We start from the raw sequence: 26,914 nt of genomic DNA, 5'->3' as shown, positions 1-26,914 counted from the left end.
GCTGGCTGTGGGACCCTGTGCGAAATTAGAATGTGGAGCCATTTATTCAAAAAACAGGAAAGAAGTGCCCTCCAAGGTACTAAAACAAAATGTTTTGCCCTTTCCTTCCCACTGCTTCCCTGCCCTCCTTTCCCTTCTCTTCCTTGCCTCTTGAATTGTCACAGTATTTTTAATGTTCCAAGTAAAGAAAAATTAAAAATGTAATTATTGGTATGTTTTTTTCTGTTATTGTTAACTCGTGCAATGCCAGTTTTAAATGCAAATTTAAAAGCATTTAACTTGTTTGCATAATCACTGAAGTTACACAATTTGTATTTCATAGCTGTTACATTCCTATGTATTTCTTTCTGACCAGAACAGAGGAAACACTGCCAAAAACTAATTCTGTTGTTTTTATTTTACTTCTTGATACATGCGTGTTTTACCAACACATTCTACCTTCAGCTTCCTGATGAATAAGGCAGGGATTTCCTTCTGTGTCACCATTTGGAGCACAAGTGTTTGGCCAATATAAGGAAATAAGAAAGGACATGATAGGGGCCTTGGTCGGTTGTGTTTCTTAAAGTACAATTGCCTTACTTTTGTGTTTGAAGCTAGTTCTGGTTCTGACAGAAAGCATGGCCTCTGGGAGCTGTGGGATCCTCCACTTGTCGTAGAGGTACCATACTCACCTTGCACTCGTTTTGAGTCCTGCTGAACTCCCAAGCATTGTGACCTCACCAGAGTCCTGTGCTCATGAGGCATCATGAATGTTAGACAACTTTAAGTGGGCAGCAAGGAACGATGGACAGGATGTGGCACACATATGACCCATGCCTGCTTCATCGTTCCACTCTCTCCCATCTGACTTCAGGTATAGCACACAAAGTCAAAGACAGAGTTATTGAGAACTTCAGGCCAGTGGCAGGAGAACATTAAAACAAGTGTGGCTCTTCTGGGTGTCGGGTCCCACATGACTGCACAGTCACATGCCCAGCAAGCCAGCCCTAGAAACTTCTGATGGATTCTTAACCTCAAGGAGTCTTCATTTCTTCATCATAAAATTGAGGCCATAATATTACCTAACTCGTAGGTTGTTCTTCTGTTTAAATGAAGCCATCTTTATAATTTATTACTAATATTCTTGGTACCTAATAAGCCTTTAATAAAAGTTAATTCCTGCCACTTCTACTGCTGAGCAAGTTTTCCAATGTGATGGCTCTATTGTGGTAAAGACAACCTAATGCAAATGCAAGTCAGGGTCATTAAATGTCACCTCTGGAACTGAGCAGGCTGCAAACAAAATTTTATAAGTCACAAATATATTTTATTATCTCTTGAAAACAGTGTACAAATGAATAAGCAAATGAAACATAGTAGCCAAAAGGCTTTGGAGAACTAATCCATTTTATAAAAGTATAAGGCCTGAATTCCAGTCCCACATCCCTTTAAGTGTGGGCAACTTGCTTTCCTCCTCTGTACCTTTGTTTCCTTGTGTCTAAAGTGAGAGTGTCACACATGTCTGACATGGGCCCTAAAAATTGTTACATCATGGCTTAGTGTCTTACAACGAGGATGGACCTAAGGTAAAAGTTAAGCCACATAAATAAATGTTCGTAATAAGGATGAGATGGAGAGAAGAGGTGTAACGAATTTTGCTATTGCTTACTACCTGTTACTGTTACCTGCTGACCGGGTGTTTTCATGTGTTAAGCACTGTACAGCTTTCTTTCTCCCCAGACAAGGCTCTTCCCTAGCAGAACTGATGCACATGTACAGCACGTCAGTATCACGTAGACACATACTGTTTTGTAGCCACATTTCACCCCTGTAGAAACTCTAAGCATGTGCTCTCTGCATCTGTTTAAAGGGTCCTGCATAAATAAAGCTCTCTAGGTAGGCTGAAATGCCTGCAATTAGTACCCTTCTAAGGGCAGAGTTTTCTTGATGGAGTAAGATACAGTAGTGTGCTGGAGTTGGCTTGTACCTTTTCAGGAGATTTATGAGCCAGTTTAAAAGCAAAGATGGCAAATACTTCACACTCATCACTTTCTGATTCTTTTATTTCATTTTGCAATTTATTTCATATTATCTGCGCTCTCGGAAGTTATTTACTTTTATTGTATCTGTGTGGTGGAAATACTCATACAATGATGAGCTCTTGCACATCGCATCCCAGTTCCGTTCAGTAACATCCCATTGGTAGTTTGAAATTGGCTATAGTGGAAGCGTTTACACCATAGAATGGGCAAACACTAACAATCAGGGTTCTTCCTCCACTCCCCCTCCCTGAGAGATTATTGTAAAACATTTAATAGCACACTACTGAGTAGGAATCAAATTTACTGTCGGAGTTCCTTTTGGAAGATTTGTTAAAAGCTGTGGCTATTGCAGACTATTAGAGAACCCATTAGAAAGTGTGAAAAGGGAAAAGGACAAGAAGAGAATGAAGATTCTTTGAGCATCTGTGCCTGGCGATACATTAATTGCCTTTCCTGTGGAGCCCAATTAAAATCTTCCTGAAGGCGGGCTAGGTTGTATGATATTACATCTGTCTTCCAGTTGAAGAAACTGATCTGAGGTGTAATAACCTGCCCAAGTTGATACAGCTAATAAATGAAAAAAACTTATGTTGGAAATGTATCTGAATCCAGGTATTTGTTACTCAAATGCTTATTATCTTTGCCTTCTCGAATGGGAAATGTGAATACATTTTGCAAAAAGAATAATGTTAAATGCTATAGTAAGATTTTTGTGAGTATAATGAATTCCATGTTCTGTCTTTCATTCAAGTATTTGTACATCACACGCTGAAAGTAAAATGTGCCAATCACTGGTCATGGAAAGGTTCTACCCAGGGAGGAATAGTTACCTATGAAGTGTTGCAGGAACAGGGGAGAAGACCAAGGGCCATCAGAGCAGGAGGCTTAAGAAAACAACCCTTGCATAGGCTTGCAGGTGTGTGTCTGGCAGTGCCTGTAGTCTCCAGGGCTGCAGGGAGAGAGGTTGGTTTTGGTAGAGGTAACAAGAATTACAGGATTGTGATCAGGCAGACATCTGTGGGTAGTTTGGAGATTCCAGCCAGTGGGTTGAACATTGTTTCTGTGGAATGCGGTTGCCCATCTTCCCAGCCTCCTCTGGCTTTTACTCCCTGGATCCCTTCTAGTGCAGTCCTAGGGACATGCAATCCAAAGGAAAGTTTTGACATGACAGGATCATGGGCCATGCCCACCCAGATTTCGTTTCAGTGAGTCTGGGATAGAACCCAGGTAGTTGCGTTTTAAACACACCTCCTTAGAGGTTCTGAGGCAGCACCAGGCACCACACTTCCAGAAATAATATTGTTTTGTAGCTTCTGTGCTGTCTTCCCAAGTAAGAGGAAAGAACATGCATGTAATGATAATAATATCTCTTCCTAGCTCCACATCACCTTTTATACCCAGTCTCTATCGATCCCCACAATTACCTTGTGAGATGTTCAGAGCAGTTAATTACTCTTCTTATTTTACAGTTGGGAGAACTGGGGATGGGAGAGGTTAATTAAGTAGTGCCAGGTCCTACCTTTAGCAAACGGAGGACCCGGATTTCTCAGTGTTTTGCAGGTGTATTTCCTTGGTTGCACAGTGCCCCATAGTGGCTACTGCCTACACGTTCTACAGGTGCCACTTCATCATGGTCTGCTCTGGAACCAGCCTCAGAAACATTGTGCGTTAGACGGGGGGGTCACCTGTGCTCCCCCAAAATATTTTGAACCCCGTTGGAATGATTCTACACGCTTTACAGTGTGTAGTTTTGTTCTTGAGATTCCTCATTCCCAGTTTCTGCAGCATCCTGTTTAGCTACAGAACTCCAAAACACTCAAGAAGCAAAAATCCATGATCCAATCTGTTCTGTATCATTGGATGACAAGGAGCATATCGTGAGTGGAATAGATTTCTGTAGGTTGTTAAGTATTTCGGTCCCTTTCCATCACTTAATGACAGAGAACAAGAGAGCAAACGTGAGCCAGGCAACCTGTCCTCTCATTCTGTGTCTGCCTCCAGCTAGCTTTGTAACCATAGGTAACTCGCCTCGTTTCTCCAGACCACGGGCTCCTCATTTGTAGAAAGAAATTTGGAGTCCTTGTAAGGCCTGTCCCAGCTGTAACGCACATGATGGCAAACCACCAAGGGAGAAAAATATCCCCAGGAATACCATGTTCTTTAGCTTTTCTAATAGAAAAAAAAAAAAGACATTTACATTATAAGCAATGCACTCATGATTCTATTATTGTAATCATTTATTTTTAGGTTGGGAAAAATAGAAACATATTTTATCAAATTAATTAGATTTAAAATAGCTCAATGACTTGTTTTCTCCAGCATTTAGTCATTTTCTTGGCTGATTTGCCCTGTCCCTGTCTAGAAATGTTTTTTCTATGCCCTGCCTCAGGTTGGTGCCTGGGTCATAAAGTAAAGCCTAATAAAAGTAAAATCCTCTCAGCCCATGCTTCTTACTTGTTTTCACTTAGACTGATATTTTGTTTTATTGCAGAATTGGGACTAATGATTTTACTCTGAGTTAAGCAACCAAGACAGAAATGCTTTTTTTTTTTCTTCACATAATTCAGTGCAAACCCATAGTAGCCATACATGCCTTAACTTGAACTTTACATTCTGAGAGAGCCAGAACATTTTTAGGGTATTTTTTTTCTTCGAAATCAAAGTAATAAGCCTACGCTGTTCAGAAATGAATTCTAGGTATAGATTTTTGTCAAATTCATCTGACACTTTAAATAAATTTCAGACTGATGAATTCAGTGTTTGTTTGATAGAGATCATAAACATTTTCCTTTCTCGAAAAGCAATCTAGGGAGTATGTATTTGTACTGTAGTTAATGCTGTGTTAAGTCAGTGTAATATAGCTGCTGCAAACATTTGTAGAGCAAAGAAAAAAAGCCTTTATTTAAATCTTGCCAAGAGCAGAAATAAAATGAGCAAAAGCACACTGGAGTGAGAGGCAACATAAAGATTGGTACTGCTTCACGACTCTGGTGCAGCAGCATTAGCATTTCATTTAAGCTGCATATCATATACGGAATGATCACTCGTAATTTCATGTCTGACTGTGTGGCTTCAAGAGATGTTTGTTGAGTGAATAAATGATTGATTAGTGCTTTCTTTTGTGATACAAAACTGTCATTTAATCAGCGTGGAAATTAGTTGCAGATACCCTTATTGTAATTCCATTTGTATATTTACATAAGAGTATGAAATAAGAATGAATGAGGTTGGATGCCAGTAAGAATGAATGGATTGGTGGCTCATGCCTGTAATCCCAGTGCTTTGGGAGGCCAAAGGCGGGCAGATCACTTGAGGTCAGGAGTTCAAGACCAGCCTGGCCAACACGGTAAAACCCCATCTCCATCAAAAAATACAAAAATTAGCCAGGCTTGGTGGCGGACACCTGGAATCCCGGCTATTCGGGAGGCTGAGGTGGGAGAATCGCTTGAACCTGGGAGACACAGGTTGAAGTTAGCCGAGATCACGGCCACTGCACTCCAGCCTGGGTGACAGAGTGAGACCCTGTCTCAAAAAAAAAAAGAAAAAAAGAAAAAAAAGAAAGAATAAATGAACATCTATTTTATTTAGTAATGAAATATTCTTGGCTGACACAGGCACAATGAAGACTTCACCAGTTATTTCCACTAAATTATAGGATCATGGAAGATAAGAACATGTTGTATTGTCTTTTTAATCCCCACCATCTAGCACAGTGCCTGGATATATAATAAATGTCTAATCCACACACACAGACACACAATTAAATATAAAAATGGGTATTCTCATCAAGGGATAGGTTGGCAGTTTATATGCCATGACTTATTCACAAATTGGGAGAAAGAGATTTCTATAGGTCAAAGAGAGGTTAGGGCAGTAAGGAAAAAGGGCCAGGATGGGCTGAGATGAGAAGATAAACAGATTACTTGTTTAATATGGATATTAAAGCAGAATTCCTCAGGCTTTGTGATTCTTGGTGTCATCTCAGAGACACACAATTTTTAGATGGTGTTTTTCTTCCCCTTTGCTGTGCTATTTTCCTGTGTCATCCTAGTTAGTTTTATGTTCATAGTCTGATGATTTAGCCACAATTAGGGTCTCACTCTTCTACTCTTCTTTTAATTTTTATCACTGACATTTCAAGAGCAGATTCAGGTTTCCGGCATTTGGCGGGGGTGCCTCCTAAGTGTGTTAGACTGTAAAACTGCTGAAGGCAGCAAAAGTTTTGTGCAGTCAATCAAAGCAGGGAGGGTATAACTATGTTACTGTTTTCACTTTTCTCTTTTTCTAGTTCCATGCAACACAAAATAAACTTTCAGACATACTTCTAAGTTTCCATATCCATTGTATATGGTTGAGTTTTAGCCAAAACCATTTGTGAGGGAAGGCCTTTAGTGATCTGGGATGGGGATGCTGAAGCCCATTGCACCTTATTCATGTAATTAGACGTGATAAAAACATTAAAATTATATTTCAAAAGTTGTTAGTCTATTTCATAGAAGCTTCTTTCCATATCACAATGGATATGGAGTGTTTATGGAGTCAGTAACAAGTGGTTTGATCTTTATAAAGAGGACCTGTGATACAGCCATGTACCTGCCCGTGTTGCAGTACGTGGTGTACAGCTCTCAGCTGCCCTGCCCTTTGCAGCTCTTGTTTCCTCCATGTGAGATGTACTCCATCCCCAAGTACCTAACCCCTCACTAGCCATTTGTTCCCTGCTTAAATTTTTCTGCCTGCAAAAGACCTTCCCAGGCTCCCCCATTGAAATTATGCCCTAAGTCTTTTGTCTCACCACAGCACCTTAAGCATTTCCTCCTCAATCTCCTTCCTGGACTGACTGAGTACTTACTGTATGCCAGGCACTGTTCCAGGCTCTGAGGATGCATGGTCAGCCAGAAAGACAGATCACCCTGCAGGAGCTTAGAGCTCACTAGAGAAGAAAGGCAGTAAACAAATAAGCATATCCAGTGGCATCAGTACCAAAAATCCAAACAAAGATGTCCAAGAGAGGTAGAGAGAAAGGGATGCAAACATGCTGGAGGGAAACCCTTACTAAATAGGTGGCATTTGAGCTAAGACTTCAACAAAACTAGGAGGAAGCCAAGCCGGGTTCTAGAGCAGGCTTGTCCCAGGCAGAGGGAAGGGCCCAAGCAAATGGCCAGGAGCTGTGTGAGCTGACTCAGGGGCAGCAAGGGGTCGGGTAGGAGGGAGCAAGGAGCAATGGGTAAGAGGAGAGCAGAGAGACAAGCAGGAACACAGCCTTGTAGGCCACGGCAAAGGGTAATTTTTTTTTTTAATTTGAAGTATAAGGAAGAATAATGGAGGGTTGAGCACAGGAATTGGCCATGTTAAAGTTCCATTTGAAAAGTGTCACTCCGACTGCTGCATGGAGCATCTACAGAGGAAAGACAGGATAGAAGCAGGGAAACCAGTTCAGAAGTTCTTCATAGTTCAGGTGAGAGGCGACTAGGTCCACATGGGGGCAGTACAGAAGGCAATGCGTTGTCAGAGTCTAGATGTGTTTTGGAGTTAGGGTTATCTGGGTTTGCTGGTGGTTGGGATTGGATGTGGTTGTAAGTGGAAAAAGGAATCAAGAAAAACACCAGAGTTTTAGACCTGGGCAACTGAGTGACTGGCCATGCTATTTACGGGATGGGGAAGACTAAGGAAGGAAAGAAGAATAACAAATATTTGTTTGGACATTAAGTTTGAGATTCTCAGAACACATTTAAGTGGCGATATCACATAGTTTATTGATTATGTGGATCTGCAGTCCAGGGGAGAAACCAAGGGTATAGATATCAACATCAGTATATAGAGAACACAGCACAATTATAACTATGCATATGTGTAGCAGATGTGTATTTTCCATCCACTTCCAAAAGTATTCAAAAAATGGAACTTTAACTAAGTTCAACTTAGGCTATATTTTGAGACCCCATTCCACTGAGAACAGGGAAGTTTTACTGTCAATTCAGCCAACCCTTTTAGGTGATTAAATAAAGTTGACATTGTAAACATAGGTTCTTTATTCTCCCTCTAACTCCTGGGGGCATAGACAGCCTCATGACATCAGGAAGATTGTCTAGTCCTTAGTTAGCATCCACTTGCACATATGTTGTACTGTCGCAGCATTGGCAGCCAGCCTGGTCTCCTGCTTTGTGAAGCATTACAACGTGTGCTGCCATCTGCTGCCTGCCCCCACTCCCATGCCTGCACACCTTCTTCTTTAGTTGTGCAGATTTTTCCTTTTTTGGGGCCCATCTGGCTGTCCTCCCTTGCCATTCTGAGCACAGACAACTCTGGCTCACACATTCATCACAGTGCTTCCATTTCCAGTGGGGTGGGGAATTCCTGCAAGATCCTCACATCTAAGATGCAGAGGTGCAGAGTGGATCACGATCCCTTCTACATTCAATCCCCAAACTTACCTAGGGCTCTAGTGTCCTCTTCCTCTTGGTGCTAGCCCAAGAGGGTTTGGTGTTGACAGGATATGGGAATCCTCTTTGGAGACGCTTGCTGGTATCTAACTCATCTACTTCAACTCCCACTCTTGTTTTCCATCAGCCCAGAGATAATTTTTATCTTCCCTTGGCCAAAAGGAAACTGGCTTAGCAAGTATTCTTTCCATTTTTTGACCTTCCTTCTTCACTCCTTGAAACACAGCTTTTGAACTTAAAAGCCAAGAATTGACATTACTCTCCTCTGATTCCTTTGCCCCAATTATCCTTTAGGGCTGGGGAGTCTTGTGTTTATCACTGTGAATGGAGGAAGGTTGTAGGGTAAAAGGGAATGGAAAAAAGTCAAGTAAAACTACACAGTATCCTGAAGAATTTGTGTAATTTCTCTCTTTGCCACATTACTGTCAGCTGAGTGCAGGAGAAGTTCTTTTTGATTTGTTCAGCATTTTTACCTAGACTTCAATACAGAGCAGGTGCTCCAATGTCTGCAAAATGAGTAAAGTGAGTAAAAAACATGAGTAAAGTGAATAAAAAAGTAAAATGAGTAAAGTAGGTGAATGTGTAGTGCATGATCAGTTCTGTGCTCATGTGTACACATGCACACATATACAAAAAAGCTTTTATGCTGCTGTTCACAAGGGAACAGTGACTCACTGGCCATGACTGGAGTTTATTGTTAAGAAGAAGATGTGACAGCAAGCTAGTCCTCAGAGGTAGAAACCTCAAAAATTATTTTGTAATATTCAGAAATTGCTCATAATCTAGTAGTATCTTTCTTACTGGCATTGAAAAGTGAGCACTGGACAAGTAGACTGGAGAGAAAACACCTGACCTGTGTGTAGGTTATTCTTGTCAGCAGCGAGGCATTGTTCTTGAGTGTCACCCCACAACCTCCTTCGGCCGTGCTGCTCACACCTGCCCAAAGAGGCCACTCTACGGACAGAGAACACTCAGGTCAAGATGATCAGAGGGCAGAGCTGAAAACCCTACACTAAGAAATTTCTTTGAAGGGCCATATTTTGTATTAAATATTCAAGTTGATTTTATATTTGACTCCAGAACATGTGTGTATATGTGTGTGGTTTTTTTTGGTTTTGTTTTGTTTTGTTTTTGAGATGGGGTCTTGCTGTGTTGCCCAGGCTGGAGTGCAGTGGCACAATCTCAGCTCACTGCAACCTCAGCCTCCTGGATTTAAGCAATTCTCCTGCCTCAGCCTCCCGAGTAGCTGAGATTACAGGCATCTGCCACCACACCCAGCTAATTTTTGTATTTTTTGGTAGAGACAGGGTTTCAGCATGTTGACCAGGCTGGTCTCAAACTCCTGACCTTAGATGATCCTCCCACCTTGGCCTCCCAAAGTGCTGGGATTACAGGCATGAGCCACGGTGCCTGGCCGTATTATGTGTTCTAATATAAAAATTAATGAGTTTCTCTCAGCCCAAGTCTTCTATTAAAATCAACACCTCATGGCTGGCTTTTCCAGTCACTTCTATGGATAATGTATCCCATCATAAAAAGCAAGATGTTAGGTCCTTAGCAACTTGGCATTTTCTTTGAATAAGGTCTTAAAATTCCATCCTCAAAAATAAAACTTAAGTAATGTCGATACTACTCTACCACAGCCTTTACAAAGCCTTGCAAAGCAAACAGCTTCCATCTGCACATGCCCAGAAAAATGCTTACCTGTCTATGACTTTCACTGGCACCTCTGCATCTGCCAAGGTGATTTTTGTGTATACCAGGATCATCTTTTCATTTACACTTATTTTATGAAACCAAAAATTGACCCAGATTCCTGTGGCATATTATTAAATCTAAATATTGACTGTTCCTCATGTCATGAAAATTGAACAAATTGGTAGAATATCTAAATTCAAAATGTTCTTGCCAATGCATTTTTTCTTGGTTATTTTCAACAACACTGGGAGGTGATGAGAGCAGATGTCATTGTCAAATGTCCTTATTTTGACTGCCTTCAAAGATACCAGGTCCTGTCCTAGCTTCACCACACAGTAACAAGCAGTGCTTTTAAGTAATTAATACCTTGCTGTCACTCATTTTTCTCATCCATAAAATGGGCTTGATCATAGCTCCTCAATCATAGGATGTGAAGGAAACTGAAATGGTAACTGCTCAACACCATAGTTGGTGCCACGAATGTCAAACAGAGGAGGGTAAAATCTCAAGGGTATTAGTGAAAAAGCCAGGTGAAGCTTTTGTCCTGGAGATGAGCAACAATTTGGGTAGCCAATCCTCCCTTTTCCCTTCCACACTCAAGTCTAGATCTTGAACAAACCCATTTGAGGGACAGTTTGGGTCTACAGAGACTCACACCATGATCCGTGTCTCTCAGTGGACTGGGGACTCCTTTTCTGTGGGAAGGATTAAAAGGTGGAGTGAGAAGCCAGGGTTGTTACCCTTGGGTTGTCCCTCAACATGGAAAGAGGAGAGATGCCATTATCCTAGGCAGTTAGGAGCCAAGATGGAATACATGAGTGCTTAGCTCAGCCTGCAGGCACACAGCAGAGCTGGGATTTTTACGTATCTATTGTTTATGGGAGTTATAGTTTATTTGCATTTTCTCTTTTAAAATATGTTATTCTATGACAACTCTGTGAGGTTGGGATGCTCTTCATTTTACAGAAGATGCAGCCAAGGTGCAAAGAGGTAAAGAAACCTGTCCAAGTTTACATGGATAGTAAAAGTCAGGATTGTAATCGTTGTTCCACCGGAAGCTCAGCACTCTGTGAAGCTTTCATAAAGCATTATAGCATTCAGTAATTCTTGTCTTGACTGGTCATGTCAAGACCAGAAGAAAGCTTTAACTAAATCTGGAGTTCCGTGTAAAATGTTAGATGTATGTTTTGTGTTACCAGATCAGCAAGAATTGTCACTTAAGGGGATTGATTTGGAAACAGAGATGTAAATATAAATGATTTGTCTTATTTTAGAACTTTTTACAACTTTTATTACAACTTTACTTTTATAAATTTTCATTGTTTAAAATTATTAAATACTTTAAATATGTGGTAAAATAGAAAAACTAATATAATAAGAGTTTATGTACCTAGATGTAACACATATTAATATTTTGCCATATTTACTTCCAATTTTTTCTTTATAAGGAAGGAATACTTTAGTAATGAAGCAGGCATCCCCTCTCTCACTCATCCAAACCCCTTTCCTCCGTCCTCAGAGGTAGCTACTAGGTGATTTATATTATGTGTTTAAACATTTTACATAAATGGCCTAGTTCTGTATGTTTGTTTTGCAGCCTCTATTGTTCTCTCAACTGTTACACAGGAAGTTTACCCACAGAGATGGAGCTAAGAGATTTAGCTTTGCTTTATCTTTTTAAGTGTAGCTCTTACCACGTAAAACACCATTTCCAAAGAGAGAAACAAATGCCATGTGGGGCCTTTGCAGTCCTCTGAATGGGTGCCCCTAAGCACCCTTTCTTCCCTGGGTTCTTGTGAGAGGCCTCACTGGTCTGGACTGAAGAGAGATTCTGGAATTTGAATCTATAGTATCCTTTCGTTCATGCTTGTTACTCAAGCATTTAAATACTTCCCAAGAATGAAGTCACTTCTCCAGGGGCAAGGTATCATGTGCTATATATGCCACCTTATGATAGACTTAATAAATATTTGCTGAATTATAGCAGCATAAATTATAATAAGCTCATTAACACAGTGAACCCATTAGAAGACATTTGTCAGGTATTCAGTCCCTGACAGGGTTACTTTTTATGACTGAGACACTAGAGAGAGGTCTTTTTTTTTTTTTGGAAAAAATAATAAAAAATTCCTTAAAGTATATTTATTTATATTTTTAAAAAAGGATTTGAGAAACATGAAACATGAAAACATGAGAGAATACTTCATTAGCCACTTTATACAATAAAATAAGCCATAAATAACATTTTTGCAAGTAAAAACACTCAGGTTACTTAATGATGGGTACACTAATGACAGTCACAACTATTTAGGCAGGCCTTATTCTGTGCTTATTAGCTTGAGTCAGACACTCGTGTTTATCTAAACCGGGGCGTGTTAGTTTATTGTCAGTTAAAGAGAGGTGCCTCCTGGGAAACCATCAAGTTTATACACATGGCACCAATATGGTGTATTATAATACATATAATGCAACATATAAATTAAATTACTGTATGTAATAGATATTAAATTATTTAGTATAATATATGCTTATATCATACAATACAATACACTAATATAGAGTGAAATCCATGTGTGTTATGCCACCTTTTCCACTTTTACAGAATTTCAAAACTTGGACTGAAAAATATTGTGCTCTCTTTTTGGGCCAGGCACAGTGCTAAGCACATTACTTTATTCATTCATCTCATAAAGCAGTGATGATCTTACAACTCACATTTGATGAAACTGAGGCTTATCCGAAATTAAGGCTTATCCAAAATTATGCAGGTGCCAACAGGGCTTTCTGGTCAACCGTGCATGGCCTTTACTCCTCAGAATAGGTGGCATTATCTATCTCACTCTGTAACACCCGCTGAAAGAAATGTGGCCTCTGCTGGTACAGAAGCCTCCTTGTAAAAGCCATCTGCTGGCCACCTGTGCTTTTACCTCAAAGCCCACTTCACATTTTAGGAGTTCACCTAACCTTTCAAGTCCCAATGGCAGGTATACATCTTCCATCTTCTTAGTATTAGCCATCAGGACTGAAGCGAATTTACAGCTCCAGTCATGAGCCTTGGCACATTTCTGGTATGAAGTATAAATATTTGAATGCTAATTATTGTAAAACAAACAGGCCACTGAGTCCAAAGCAGATGAATGCTGTTTCTGGAAGCCAGCAGACCCTAACTAGTAGGCAGCTTGTGTTGTGTCTCTGCACAATCACTGATAGACGTCTGGAATCATTTCCACCTCCCCCTTCCTCAACTGGGAGATGCCCAGAGTGGCTCACATATGTGAATCTTTGCCTTTTAAACTAGTTCCCATCTGCCCTGTCTCTTGAGCAAAAACCCTGTACTGCTGGAATGACCTGACCCAGAAAGATAATGGTATCATCTTCTAAGAGCAGCTCACCCTTGTCCAGCCCCAGCTCACATGAGTCTGTCCAGCATACACATTCTCATCCCTGGCACACTGGGCCCAGGCATTCCACTGGCTTGAAATCACTGATTCTCCTCCATACCTGTGCATCCTTCGACGTCCAGCTCTGGACCTCCTCTTGCTTGAAGCCTTCCAGGCTTACTTTAATCCATATTGCTTGTCATTTATTCAGCAGTCCTGGGACCATGCAACAGCAAAGGCAGAACTGTTTTGCCTTCCTACCGAGGTAGAAAACCCCTGCAACCATGGGCCTAACACCTGTAGTCTCTTTGGAAATGTTAGTAAATTGGTAGCCCATTCTGCCTAGGCAAAATCCGCCTGGCAGTTGTCCAAAAACTAAGCTATCTCTGACGAAGGCGGGGCATGGGAAAGTATGGATTGTAAAGCCTAACTGGGAACATCATTTACTCCAGCAAACAAAGATACGGATGTCAGAGGATCACTTGTTCTGCTAAATGTAGGGAGCTGGAGTGAAATTAGACATAGTACTTTGTGGCCAAAAGGAAAAATAAATCTTATTAAAATTTTAAGGCTGGTGCTTGAGTTGACCCCAGCAATTTTTTCTGGCTTCGTGTTCTAGTGAAAAAAAGACAGGGGCTTTGGGACAGTAAACCAGAAGGGAACCACTCGGAGCTTTCATAGGCCTAAGGAGACAAATAATGTTTACTAAGGAATTTGTTGTCAAGATTAAACTGAGACGAGGAATCGAGACAATGTGAGTGAGGTGCTAGATACAGTGCCCAGCACAGCACAGGCATTTGGCCAGTGGCAGCCTGGGATACCTTCGCTGCTCGTGCACCCACCAGCCCCCTGACTCCTGCCACGACTGCTGTTAATGACTCAGGCCTAACCCTACAACAGCCTAACCATGATTTTGCCTGGAGCCACCCAGACACCTCTGCCAGGCTGAGCAGCACAGTAAATGAGGAACCCTTCCCCTCCTGAACCAACCAACAGCCCCTGGTCAGGCAATGCCATTGCAGTACATTCCCCCCACTTATTTTCTTAATTTCAGACATTCATTGATTGCAGGAGTATTTACTGGGAACCTTCCACAGGCCAGCCCATGTTGGTTGGTGGGAATACAAGAATGAATAAGATGTAGTCCCCACCTTCGGGAACCTTACAGGCATCCCCATTGTGGGTTACTCAAACATCTGAATTTTACATTATCCGGAAGCCCAGCCGCCAGTGTTTTAAACTTATGCCTCAACCAAGCGAGGTCACTGGGTCGGCCAGCCCTAGCAGTGCCCTTCCTAGCAGGTGGGATTGCTCCATGCATTCTGGTGTCAAACAGCGCCATCACAAGGAGGGGGCACTGCCTGCAGGGGGGCTGCCCTTCTGAGGAGGCAAGGACTTGGCAATCCCGCAGGACTGTACTCCTTAGAGAGGGGGATGTCCTCCCGCTACCACAGGCTCCGCTGACCTGGCCGACCTTTTTCTTTCTGTTCTTCTGGACATTAGCTTAAGAATGGGCAGAAACTAGAGGGATAATGAATAAGGGAGTGCCTCTTTGGTGTTCTGCCTTTAGCAGTCTGGAGACTTTCTCACATTTACCAAAAGCAAAGAAAAGAGAAGGGCCCATTTGTAAAAAGTGCCAATAAGGGTGTTAAGAGATAAAAGAATTCCAGCTGAGGGAGGTATCTTCCTCTTTGCTGCAGACTGGATGTTTTCTTGGATATGTGACGGGAGCTAATTTTAGAAAAAATGATTCTCGAAAGAAAATGACTGCTGAAGGCCATTAAGATACACGAGTATCTCACCACAGCTCACATGCTAAATCTTCTTTATTATTTCAACATTAAAATAAATACTTAGACTTAGCATTAGTCCAGACAACTCTTTGACACAAAAAAAGGACGTGAGTGTGTCTCAGACCCACAGAAAACTTGGCCAGCTGGCAATTAATAGCAGACACATCAATCAAAATGTGAAAAAAAAAAAAAAAAGAAAGAAAAACACTCTCCAGTCAAGAAAATGGGCAATAAAGCTTGTCAACCACAAGGCTTAAGAGGGACATCGTTAAAGTGGTAAGACCTAGAATTAACTTCTCTTTGCCCTTGAACAAAATAAGAAGTTAGCTGCATTAACCTTAAGCTGCAGTGTAATGTTCCTCTGTGGCAGCGTTTACATTTCATAGTTTTATCTGACAACTCGTAATAAATTGTGCCTTTTGGAAAATGTCATTTCTCTCAGAAGAATTTGAAGGAGAATTTAAACACTCTTTTGTGCTACTTTAACTATCCCTAAGAAATGTGACTCGTGTCTTTGTTTGGGCATTAGTATTTAAGATGTGGGCACTGACCTTCCTAAGCAAGTGGAACAATCACCGTGATTTCCAGCAGTGAGGCACTTTTGATTTTGCCTCTAAAAATAGAAGTTCCCTAGAGGCCTGGCCAGAAAGGGCAGAGAACAGGGAGAAAGAATGGAAATAGAAAAAAGTAGTCCAAATAGGCAGAGAACATCCACTGGGAATTCAGACCTTTGCATTGCCAGGTAATAATGTTAGAATTGCAGTGGAAAGGAAAAGAAAGTCACACCCAATCCAGTATGAGTATAATCTTGCCAGTGCTCTTCCCAGGGGAAAACTGGCAAGAACTCGACAGCCCCAGTCACTTAAACCATCGTAGACAAAGCACATGTGAAGGTGTGATTAAGGAGCACTGTCCCATTGGTGCCTGGGGACAGATGATTTGCCTGGTGGGCCTCTTATATCCCCCGATGTCATTTATATCACACCAGCTAATGATGGGATATGGCAGTGAGTATTACCGACGACTTTCTTTAAGTTGTATAATTATAATATTTCAGATATACTATATCAGAGGAAAAGATGTGTTTTCTCTTGCTTAGCCGAGCCTTCCTATTAGGCTTATGGTCATTTCAAGGAAAACGATGATCCAGGGCTGTAACATTGATGATGTCCCTTGCCTCTCTCTAACCTGGATTTGTTACAGATATGCTGATGACTGAGACCCATGATGCAGATCGTGATTTCTGTAGCATTTTGCTAGCAGAGGATTTGACATTGCCTTGAGACTTAATCATTTTGGAGAATGTTCTCTCAATTGGCAGCAGAAGGTTTGCAGCTCCAGAGGCTGCAGTGGAGGCTTTTGGATTATTAAAAGTTGAGACCTAATCACAAATTGAGGCAGTGCAGCAAATCCACTCCTTCCTATTATTCTTGTGCATTAGGAGCCACTTAAGCTCCACCTAATGAAGAGTCTTCATTCTTTGCATTGTAATACTCCTTTAAAGATGCTCAGAGAGCCTCACAAATCCTGCCTCTTTCTACTTCCCAGCACAGCGGGCAGAGAGAGCAAACTCTGCCACAGGGTCCTGGCACCAACGCAGCCCCCTCTATCCTGCCAGGTGCTTCTTCTCTTTATTTGTGTCCTCTGACATCCTCTCATTCTTCTCCCTTCCTTTCCCATATGTCATCTCCCCATGACAAACAAGGGTAGTTTCTTCTGGGTAGAAACTAGGCGTTTTCATATAATGGAGGCTATGTCTGTGTTGATGCAGAGAAAAACACAAAAGCCCTGTAAAATATTTAAACCTGAGCCAATGTGAGTGACCATGGCCCAGGCTTATGGTCTTAGGAAGTCCTGAGAACGTGTGCCCGAGGCAACTGGGTCACAGGTTGGTTTTACACACTTTAGGGAGACAGGCATTGTAGATAAAATCATTAATCAATACATGAAAGGTGTGCATTGGTTTAGCCTAAAGTGGTGGGATATTTTGAAATGCGGGTTTATAAGTCGTAGGTACATTCAAAGATTTTCTGATTGGCAGTTGGTTGAAAGAGTTAAGCTTTGTCTCAAGGCTTGAAGTCAATAGAAATAAATGCTTGAGTTAAGAGGGGTTGTGGAAGCCAAGATTCTTGTTATAGAGATGACGCCTCATAGGTAGTGTCCTTCAGAGAGGATAGATGGTACATGTCTCTTTTGGGAACTTAAAGGTGTTACACTCACATTTAATCTCTCCTAGGTCCAGGAAAGGCCTAGAAGGGGAAAGGTAGGCTGCATTAATGGAGATGCTCTACCAATGCAAATTTCCCCCACAAAAGACAGCTTTGCATGGCCATTTCAACATATGTCAAAGAAATATATTTTGGGGTAAAATATTTTGATTTCCTTCAGGGTCTTCTAACTGTCACGTGATGCTATACCAGAGTCAGGTTGGAATTTGGCATCTTATCGCCACAAAGAGTTTGGTCAGCTTATGATGTCTATGTTAATATTAATCCTGGTCAGTTGTGTCCACATATCAAAGGGAGAGGGAATATATGGAGGCCTGTCTGACCTCCCTTCCAGTCATGACTGGAAATTCAGTTTTTCATGTTTCTCTGGGGTCCATCTGGCCATGAGGGGGTCTGTTGGGTCAGTTGAGGCGCTTAGGAATTTATTTTCAGTTTACATCTGTGTCAACCTTAAATAATGAGGTTCAGGAAATATGATTAAGTACAGAGTTTATTTGAGCGCAAAGCTTGAGGCTGGCCACCTGGGAAAGCACCAACTGCAGATGAATGGGGTCAGTGTTTCCAAAACGGAGAAGTTAAAGTTTCGATTATATAGGCAGAGTCAGAGAAGTTCCAGCAGAATCACAGCATTTTCCATACAAGACCAGGTATATATGCCACAGCTGTTTGATTGGTTACAGATTGTTCCATTTTAAGCAAGAATACTTTATTATTCCATGAGGAGGTGCAGTGATCTGAGAGGGTCTTATCTCTGGCGCTGCTTGGTCTTTCTAATTATTTGCAGGAACAAAAAGGCAGAAGTTGCAGCTGTCTGACGCAGGCTACATAGCCACATTCCTCCCAAGGCTCAAGATAATTTTGAGTTCCAATAGCTTTAAGTTTGAATTATTTTAATTTTGAATTATTTAATTTTACATCTGATAATTTGAATCCTGCCATGAAATTTCCCAAGTTCACTTTCTCAGCTCAAGTTCCTGCGGCTTCTTGACTCGTCAAACCAAGGTCATATTAGATTATCTGGTGTGGGGGGGCACTGGCTCTCAGCCCCAAGCCCTCTAGGCCAGAGATTTTGAGCTCCTCCCAACAGGTCAAAGCTTTGTTTTTGTTGTTTCACTTCCCACCACTGTGCACACATCTCATCTTTGCCTCTGTTTTTAAAAAACATTTTCTGGAGCAAATGCTGAAATCAGAAACCTGCATTTCTCATTTTTTAGTTGCCCACCAGAGCTGTTGCTCAGTGCAGGGAAACCAGGAAATGGTGACTACCAGTCAGAAACAAAAAGACTGTCTTTTAAATCAGCTGCTGCAGCCTTGGTATTCCCAGCATGGAACTTCTAAAACTTTTGGAATTTCCTTAGCGATAGGACTGTTTTCATTCTGCTAATGAGGGAACTCACTTTGTCCCCAGATAGCTTCAGCTTGGGCTCTGATCACCAGAAAGATCAATCAGATGAAATTGCAGGGTTTCAGGAGGCTGAGGCAGGAGAATCACTTGAACCCGGTTGGCAGAGGTTGCCATGAGACAAGATCGTGCCACCGCACACTGCAGCCTGGGCAACAGAGCGAGACTCTGTCTCAAAAAAAAAAAAAAAAAGAAAGAGAAAAAGAAATTACAGGGTTCAAACTTTTTGAACTTTGGGCTGCCCGGCATCCAGGGAGAAGAGTGGCACTGGAGATTAAGTTCACTCACATGGCCAGTGATTTAATCAATCATGCCTATCTAATGGGAACCCTAATAACAACTCTAGATTCTGGGGTTCACTGGAGCTTCTGGTTCATGAACACACTGATGTGTTGGGAGGGTGATACACTCAGATTCCACAGGGAAAGAGGGTGGAACTGCATCCCCCCTAGATCTCACCCTGTGTGCATCCTTTACAATAAAACTATAGCCATAAATCTAGTACTTTCCTGACTTCTGTTAGTCATGTTAGCAAATTATCGAACCTGAAGGGTGTCCTAGAGTCTGGGGATTGGTAGTTGAACAGTTAAAAGTGTGAGTGGCTTTGAGTAACTTGTGAGTAACTTGCCCAGAACCACAGAGCTAGCAAGCAGCAGATAATTACATGCAAATCCACACAGCTGGCATGTGAAACGAGGGCAGTCTCCTGGAGGCCTGAGCCCTTAACACATGGGGTCTACACTAACTCCCAGTAGCAAGTGTCAGAATTATACTGCAGTGCACCCAATGGGATGCAACAGAATAACTGTTATTAAGGATAATTTTGCAATTTCTTAATAGAATTCTTGAAATATTAGAAACACCTTCTAGACCTTTATGTTGGTCATTACAGCTCAAAGCACTGTCCCTGGGTGGACAGGTTAGACAGATCATGTGGAAGGTGCTACTCAAAGTGTGGGCCCAGACTAATGCACATCCACAACTGTTCATTACCAGTTCCTGGTAAGATGTTTACAGAACTTGAGAGCAGGCATTTAGAAACTTTTATAGCAATTGTACAATGCCAAGACATTCAGAAATGGAAATATTAAAATATCACACAGTGACAATTTGGGGGAAAAATTACCCTTCACCACAGATAGTTTGGGGAGTGTAAATTTAGAAAATGTAGCCTTGGTTGGTATGACCAGATGGAATCAGAACTTACTGTGAAAGGTGTGAGCCATAGGATGAAGCAGATGGATTTGCATGTAATATCTGCTGCTTGCTAGCTCTGTGGTCCTGGGCAAGTTACTTAATTGCTCTGGGACTCAGTTCCCTCATCTAGAAAATGGATATGACAGTATTTCCTATCTAATTCGATGCTGGAAAGACCAAATAAAATAATCCAGAACAAGTGCTAACCACAGACCTGTATATATAGTAAGCTAACTGCGGGTATTAATTCTTCTACGCTCGCTTCTTGGCATCCGTGGTTCCGGCTTGGTTAAAGTATATTCTGTCTATGTAGGTTTGATGTATTACTGTATATAAAATCTATAGCCTTGCTCTCATGTGAATACAAAATAAAGTAAACACAGTTTAAAAGCCACAATTTATACATGTAAGCGAATGTTGCATTTTGTAGAATCCCTCTGAGATGCTAGAGTCTTATCTGAAAATGTTGCAGTTGTTGGAAGCATTTTTAGGACTTCTTCTTTTTGGCTTAATTTTTCTTTTTAATTATTATGGGTATAAGATAGTTGTATATGTTACTGATGATTTCTGGAACTTATTTAACATTTCCATTAGAACCTGTTCCAGTGATCTTCTGATGTAACAAATCACCTTAAAATGTAGGAGTTTACTCAGCATCATGCAATATGCCCCTGTAACAAACCTGCACATGTACCCCTGAATCTAAAATTTAAAACAAATACATATATAGGTATATAAATGTATTTATACACATCTATACACATCTCAAACAAAACAAATAAAAAATAACTTCGTGGTTTAGAACAACAATCTATCATTATCACTCACCGTTGACTGACTGGGCTAGACCGGCTCTCCTATCCGGTCTTCCATGGGGTTGCAGTCAGATGTTGGCTGGAGATGGAGTCATCGGGAAGTGCAACAGACGGGACATCCAGAATGACTTCTTCGCGCTTCACATTTGGTGCCTGGGCTGGGATGGCTGGGATGGCTGGGACGGCTGGAACAGCTTGGGGCTGGCTGGGTATCTCTCATTCCACGTGGACTTTCCTAGCTTGGGCTTCCTCGATGCATGCTGGGCTAAGCTTAGGGATATGTCTTCACTGGTGTCTGGCTTCCCCCAGAGTGAATGTCCTGAGAGGCAGAAAGTGGAAAATGCTAGACCTGGGCCTGGTAACTGGCATAGTATCACCACAGCCATATTCTACTAGTCCAAGCAGTCATTGAGCCTGTCCTTATTTAATAGGGGGAGACACAGAATCTGCCTCTCTCTGGGTGGAGGGTCACAGAATCTGTGTCCACCTTTAACCTGCCATAGAGCCACAAAAGGAATGTAGTTTTCTTAGTTTAGCACGTCCTTTCCCACCAGCGACATTGTATGACTTCCCAAGGTGACCACATTGAGGTAGGAACATTCATTTTGATTTCAGTTCCTATCTTTTTTAGTGAAAACACAACCATTGTATTACAGCCATGCCCTACATGCCTTTGTGTTTTGGCATTGGTCAGCCTGTACTGGGGAAGGATCGTGGGGGTCACACATTTCCCCTGGCAGACCCTCCCCTCAGAATCACCCTACTTTCTGAGTATCTGATTTCTACTAACGACTTCCTTGCAGTCTGTGTTGCCTCCCTGCACTCTTCTCTACCTTACTTGCCACCAAGGAATCTCCTGAAAGCCCATGGAACCAATGCATAACTCCTTTGCTCTCAGAACTTCACTCTCTCCCTATTTTTTATACAGCATGTGCCCCAGACATCCAGGTAGGCACTCCAGACCCTCCACAGCTGGAAGAGGATAGCTTTCCAATTATGTTTTCCCCAAATGGTCTTGCTTCTTCTTCCAGCACCCCCACCAAAACACCCATCATAGCCACAGACACACAAGGCCCTCTGCAAAACGCACACACAAACACAAGCTCAGATCATTTACCCAGCCAATATTTATTGAATATCTGCCTGTGCTTGGTTTAGTGCTCAGCTTGAAGTTCCAGCAAGCTTAGTTATTATTCCACAAACATACCTTAGGTTATTTTCCCTTTCCAGGACTTTGCTTAAGTTCCTGAAGTTAGGAGCATTTCTTATTAATGTTTTTGTGTTTCCTTTGGTACTAAGTGCTGTGTGCTTCCCACACAGCAATACATATTAGTTGCAATGCTGTACAGAGGAGAGGTTCATTCTCTTTCATTGTATCTTACTTTTCATCTCTGCCCCTTTTGTTACCCTTTCTCTGAGTCTCATCTAGAATCAGCAAGCTCTCTCCCCATCTCTCCTCCTATTTCAAGTTTTAATGTACTTCCCTCTTATCTCACCAAAAGTTCACGGTAAGGGTGAAGTAGGAGGGTAGTCTTGGGGACATTGTTGAAGACAACAGGCACCCTGAAATAACATTCACCCACAGACACAGTCACTGAAGCATTGCTTTATTCAGTGCCATCGGTGGACTTCTGGTATGTTCTAGGCAGCCTTCCAGAATGGGGAGAACAGGAAGAATCAGATAGGGTTGTCACTCCTTAGAAGTGCACAGCAGCGCTGCTGTAAAATCTATGAGCTCTGAGCTTTCGGTGGTCTGATAGGCAGACAAAAGGGGCAAACCATGCTTACCTCTCTGGCTTTGCTTTATCAAATTGGAATTTTATCATCTCAGAAGTAGGGGGAACTTGTGGGCAGGGGCACTACTGTCTATCAAAGTGGGAAGGCAGACGTGTCCCTGAGTCACATGGGGAGGATTTTGCAAATATACACCCATCCATCGCCTCTCTCCAAAGACTCACCTGAGATGGTGAGATCCCTTGTTTTGCAGAGGTTGGTGGGAGGTGGGGGGCGGGGAGGGGGACAGATATGACACCTGGATTTAGCTAAAACTCCTGGATGATTCTGGTTTCTAGTGCCCCTTCTACAACCCCACCCCACCACCTACAGAAACACTGCTCAAGATAGAATGTCCCCAGCAGCATCTGAGCAGATGCCCCATGTTGGCTAACTGCCATCTGGCTGTTTTTCAGGTTCATTCTGCCACCCATCTGCATTAAGACACAAGGTGCTGACCGCAGAGACCTGCCATGAAACCACACTTGAAGCAATGGAGACAACGAATGCTTTTCGGAATATTCGCTTGGGGGCTCCTCTTTTTGCTGATTTTCATCTACTTCACCGACAGCAACCCCGCTGAGCCTGTACCCAGCTCCCTCTCCTTCCTGGAGACCAGGAGGCTCCTGCCGGTGCAGGGGAAGCAGCGGGCCATCATGGGCGCCGCACATGAGCCCTCCCCGCCTGGGGGCCTGGACGCACGCCAGGCGCTGCCCCGCGCCCACCCAGCCGGTTCCTTTCATGCGGGGCCTGGAGACCTGCAGAAATGGGCCCAGTCCCAAGATGGGTTTGAACATAAAGAGTTTTTTTCATCCCAGGTGGGGAGAAAATCTCAAAGTGCTTTCTACCCGGAGGATGACGACTACTTTTTTGCTGCTGGTCAGCCAGGGTGGCACAGCCACACTCAGGGGACATTGGGATTCCCTTCCCCCGGGGAGCCAGGCCCACGGGAGGGGGCTTTTCCGGCTGCACAGGTCCAGAGGAGGCGGGTGAAGAAGAGGCACCGGAGGCAGAGAAGGAGCCACGTGTTGGAGGAGGGCGACGACGGCGACAGGCTGTACTCCTCCATGTCCAGGGCCTTCCTGTACCGGCTCTGGAAGGGGAACGTCTCTTCCAAAATGCTGAACCCGCGCCTGCAGAAGGCGATGAAGGATTACCTGACCGCCAACAAGCACGGGGTGCGCTTCCGCGGGAAGCGGGAGGCCGGGCTGAGCAGGGCACAGCTGCTGTGCCAGCTGCGGAGCCGCGCGCGCGTGCGGACGCTGGACGGCACCGAGGCGCCCTTTTCTGCGCTGGGCTGGCGGCGCCTGGTGCCCGCCGTGCCCCTGAGCCAGCTGCACCCCCGCGGCCTGCGCAGCTGCGCTGTCGTCATGTCTGCAGGCGCAATCCTCAACTCTTCCTTGGGCGAGGAAATAGGTAGGTCTCAGCGGGGGGACCAGGTCGCCCTGTCTTGAGCCAGTGTGTCCCTGGGGGCCGGTTCTTTCTGAGCGCGCCTCTGGATCTCTGACGGGGCAAGCTGGGGTCTCCGCACCAGGTGTTCCTAATATTAGCTGGAGATTCTTCAGGTGCTTTCCCATTGCTGGCACAGAATGAGTCTGCCTGGGGTCACAGCAGAAGTACTCTTCGGGAGACTCTTAGAGCAGGGATTTGGGGAATGCTAGGGAGCAGGAAGGGTCCTCCCCATAGCTGATGCCAGTAGGCAGTGGAAGGAAAGCGCCGCCCTTTGCCCCCGGCGTCCTTCTCACTGTTCAGACTTCGTATCCCATAGAAACCGCAGTCTGCATGGATATGCCCCCAGGCTGTGGCCCCTGAAAGCCCGGTGAACCCATCCTGCAGTGGGAATATGGGAAGGGAACAAGAGGAGGAGGCAAGAAAGCAGAAGCTGCCCAATCAGGGCGTCAGCTCCAAAGAGCAGGGTGCATGAAGATAATATTGGTTACTGTGAGCTCTGAGAAGAGCCCAGCTGCTGTTGGGAACATCTTTCCCATGGGAGAATAAGTTCCGGCCTCCCAACTGTTGGCGCAAATCCAACCTTTGGGGCACTGCCAGTGCACCTACCAGGGACCTTCTCCAAGATGGTAAATAACATGCAACACCTGGGCTTCCTCCCTCCCTGCCAGGCTCTGCCTTCACATCCCTGTCAAGAGCCCTGGAGCACATGTTTCCCAGCTCCTGTATCAGTCAGGGTTCTCCAGAGACTCACACCAGGAGGATATGTGTCTATACAGAGACAGATTTATTTTAAGGACTTGACTCTCATGATCGTGAAGGCTGGCAAGTCTGAAATAGGTAGTGCAGCCCAGCAGATGGGAAACTCAGGCAGAGTTTCTGTGTTGCTGTCTTGAGGCAGAATTGTTTCTTTTTTAGGAAACTTCAGTCTTTGTTCTTAAAGCATTCACCTGGCTTGAGGAAGCGCACCTGCATTTTGAGAGTCGTCTGCTTTTCTCAAAGTCTAGTGATTTAACTGTTAATCACATCTTAAAAACACCTTCCCAGCAACATCTGGACTAGTGTTTGACCAACCAGCTGGGCACTGTGGCCTAGCCAAGATGGCACACAACATTAGCCATCACTATTTCTTCCTAGTTTTCAAGTAAAATACCAATTCTAATCTTTTTTGATTGATGGGGCCATGGCAGGGTTCAAATACGTTTCCCTCCTGCAGAGTGGTGTAGGTTCTGCACCAGATGGGCCTGCATTGGCTCTCCTCAGAATTCCCCTTCCTCGCTGGATCACATTCATTTCCCCACCTGCCCCAGACTCTCACCCTGTCTTGCCAGAGATACCCAGGCTCTTGTGTTGCCATAGCTGGGCTCTCCCTCAGCAGTTTCAGATCCCTTTGCTCCCGGAACCCCCCTTCTTCCCAGGCTAATTCCACTGCTAGACCAGTCAGCAAGCAGCTTGGCCCTTTAGGCTCATTCATTTGACAAATATGTGTTTAGCCCCTAATATGTGCTTGATTCTGTACGAGGAGCAGTAAAACAAATGTGAGTCAAATACAGCGTCAGCCTCAAGTCCAGATATAAAACAATCATGTCCTGTACACTCTCACAGTAGGCGTTGTTAGGGCATAACTGGTCTGGAAGTGACATTCCGGGAGTGTTGCTCCCTCTTTGCAAATAAGTAATCTTTGTTGTCTTCATTTTAAGCGGATCCATTAGTTGTTCTGTGTCCTTGAAGAGTGGCCTATGTTCCAGAGTTCTCTCGGAATAGGGTGAAGCCACTGTAGGCAGGCTCAGAAGCCCAGATCTCAGCTCAGCAGAAGTCCTTGGGCATGAGGCTGAATGAGAAATATTTTTAAAGTTAAAAAAAACAAGACAGTGAGTCTGGAATCAAGGTCTGGGGTACCTGTGTCCCTGTGCTGACATTACAGCAGGCTCATAATAACACAGTCCATGTGTCATATAAGCTTGTAGCCAAAGCCAGAGCAGAGCAGCCTGCAATTTATTAAGAAGAAGCAGTGGTTTAGAGGTCCCCGGGGTGAAATAACACCACAGTTCTTTCTCATTTCTGAGAGCCAATATTAATAATGTGGAGAAGGAATTTAAGTATTATGCTTGAAGCAGGCAGTAACTTGCTTCCGGTTTGGTTTTGTTTTAAACACCTCTGCATCAGAGGTGAAGATCTGGATTGCTCTTGCATGTCAGTGGGCAGTCCCTCGTTCTTTTTTTCTGCATAAATATCCCTGACCAGAATCTTGTAAACTCTGTTTACAATTTGGAAGAGAACGTGAAAGACGCTGAGAAGTCCATGTTTCTGGGAAACTTGAAATGCCAGTTATATCTTTGTTAATTTCTAGTATCCAAATCTAATTTATTTGGCATGCACTTGCATGAGCCTTTATGATTAGAACTGTAGAATCACAACTGAAGAACATGCCTGGAAATTTCTTTAAAATTCTCTTTATTGTTTTGTCTAGGGTTGTTTGGATCAGATTTTGTATCTACTATTTTAAGAACATGTAACCATAGCATGGCTCAATTTGTATAAACAAAAAGTTTCATTTGTATAAGTTGGTATCTCAGCATCAGCAGTGTACATGCCAGGTGCCGACCTCGCTCCTTCCTGTTCACCTGAATATATGCAAGCAAACCCACATAGTTATGAATGGCTTGCAGAATACAAACAAACTCTGGCAGCAAATTCCTTCAGGCAGCTTAGAATATT

The 26,914-nt window shown here is 43.2% G+C and overlaps 1 protein-coding gene across 16 annotated transcripts in view, besides 1 other annotated feature; it reads left to right on the top strand.

Annotated features, from left to right (window-relative positions):
• ST6GAL2 (ST6 beta-galactoside alpha-2,6-sialyltransferase 2) overlaps positions 1 to 26,914 on the top strand; it is an 85,678-nt gene that overhangs the window by 20,080 nt on the left and 38,684 nt on the right. For 14 of the 16 annotated variants that reach the window (XM_011511999.3, NM_032528.3, NM_001322362.2 and 11 more), the window contains exon 2: positions 23,164 to 24,163. The exons of 1 other annotated variant lie outside the window; for it this stretch is intronic. In XM_011511999.3, coding sequence (XP_011510301.1) covers positions 23,221 to 24,163 — 943 coding nt within the window. In that variant the 5' untranslated portion in view covers positions 23,164 to 23,220. Of the gene's footprint in view, positions 1 to 16,188; positions 22,941 to 23,163; positions 24,164 to 26,914 lie in introns of those variants that run through there. One more of the 16 variants, XM_047446026.1, reaches the window with a different exon arrangement.
• Positions 14,774 to 15,379: an enhancer, noted in NCBI's record as "OCT4-NANOG-H3K4me1 hESC enhancer chr2:107468275-107468880 (GRCh37/hg19 assembly coordinates)". NCBI's record gives its function as "activates a minimal SCP1, AML or CMV promoter by ChIP-STARR-seq in primed H9 embryonic stem cells {active_cell/tissue: H9 hESC(primed)}" and the evidence as "EXISTENCE:reporter gene assay evidence [ECO:0000049][PMID:30033119]".

Source organism: Homo sapiens, chromosome 2 (genome assembly GCF_000001405.40).
Source record: "Homo sapiens chromosome 2, GRCh38.p14 Primary Assembly".
In the NCBI taxonomy this organism is placed as follows: Eukaryota; Metazoa; Chordata; class Mammalia; order Primates; family Hominidae; genus Homo; species Homo sapiens.
This window is presented reverse-complemented; position numbering and strand designations above follow the sequence as displayed.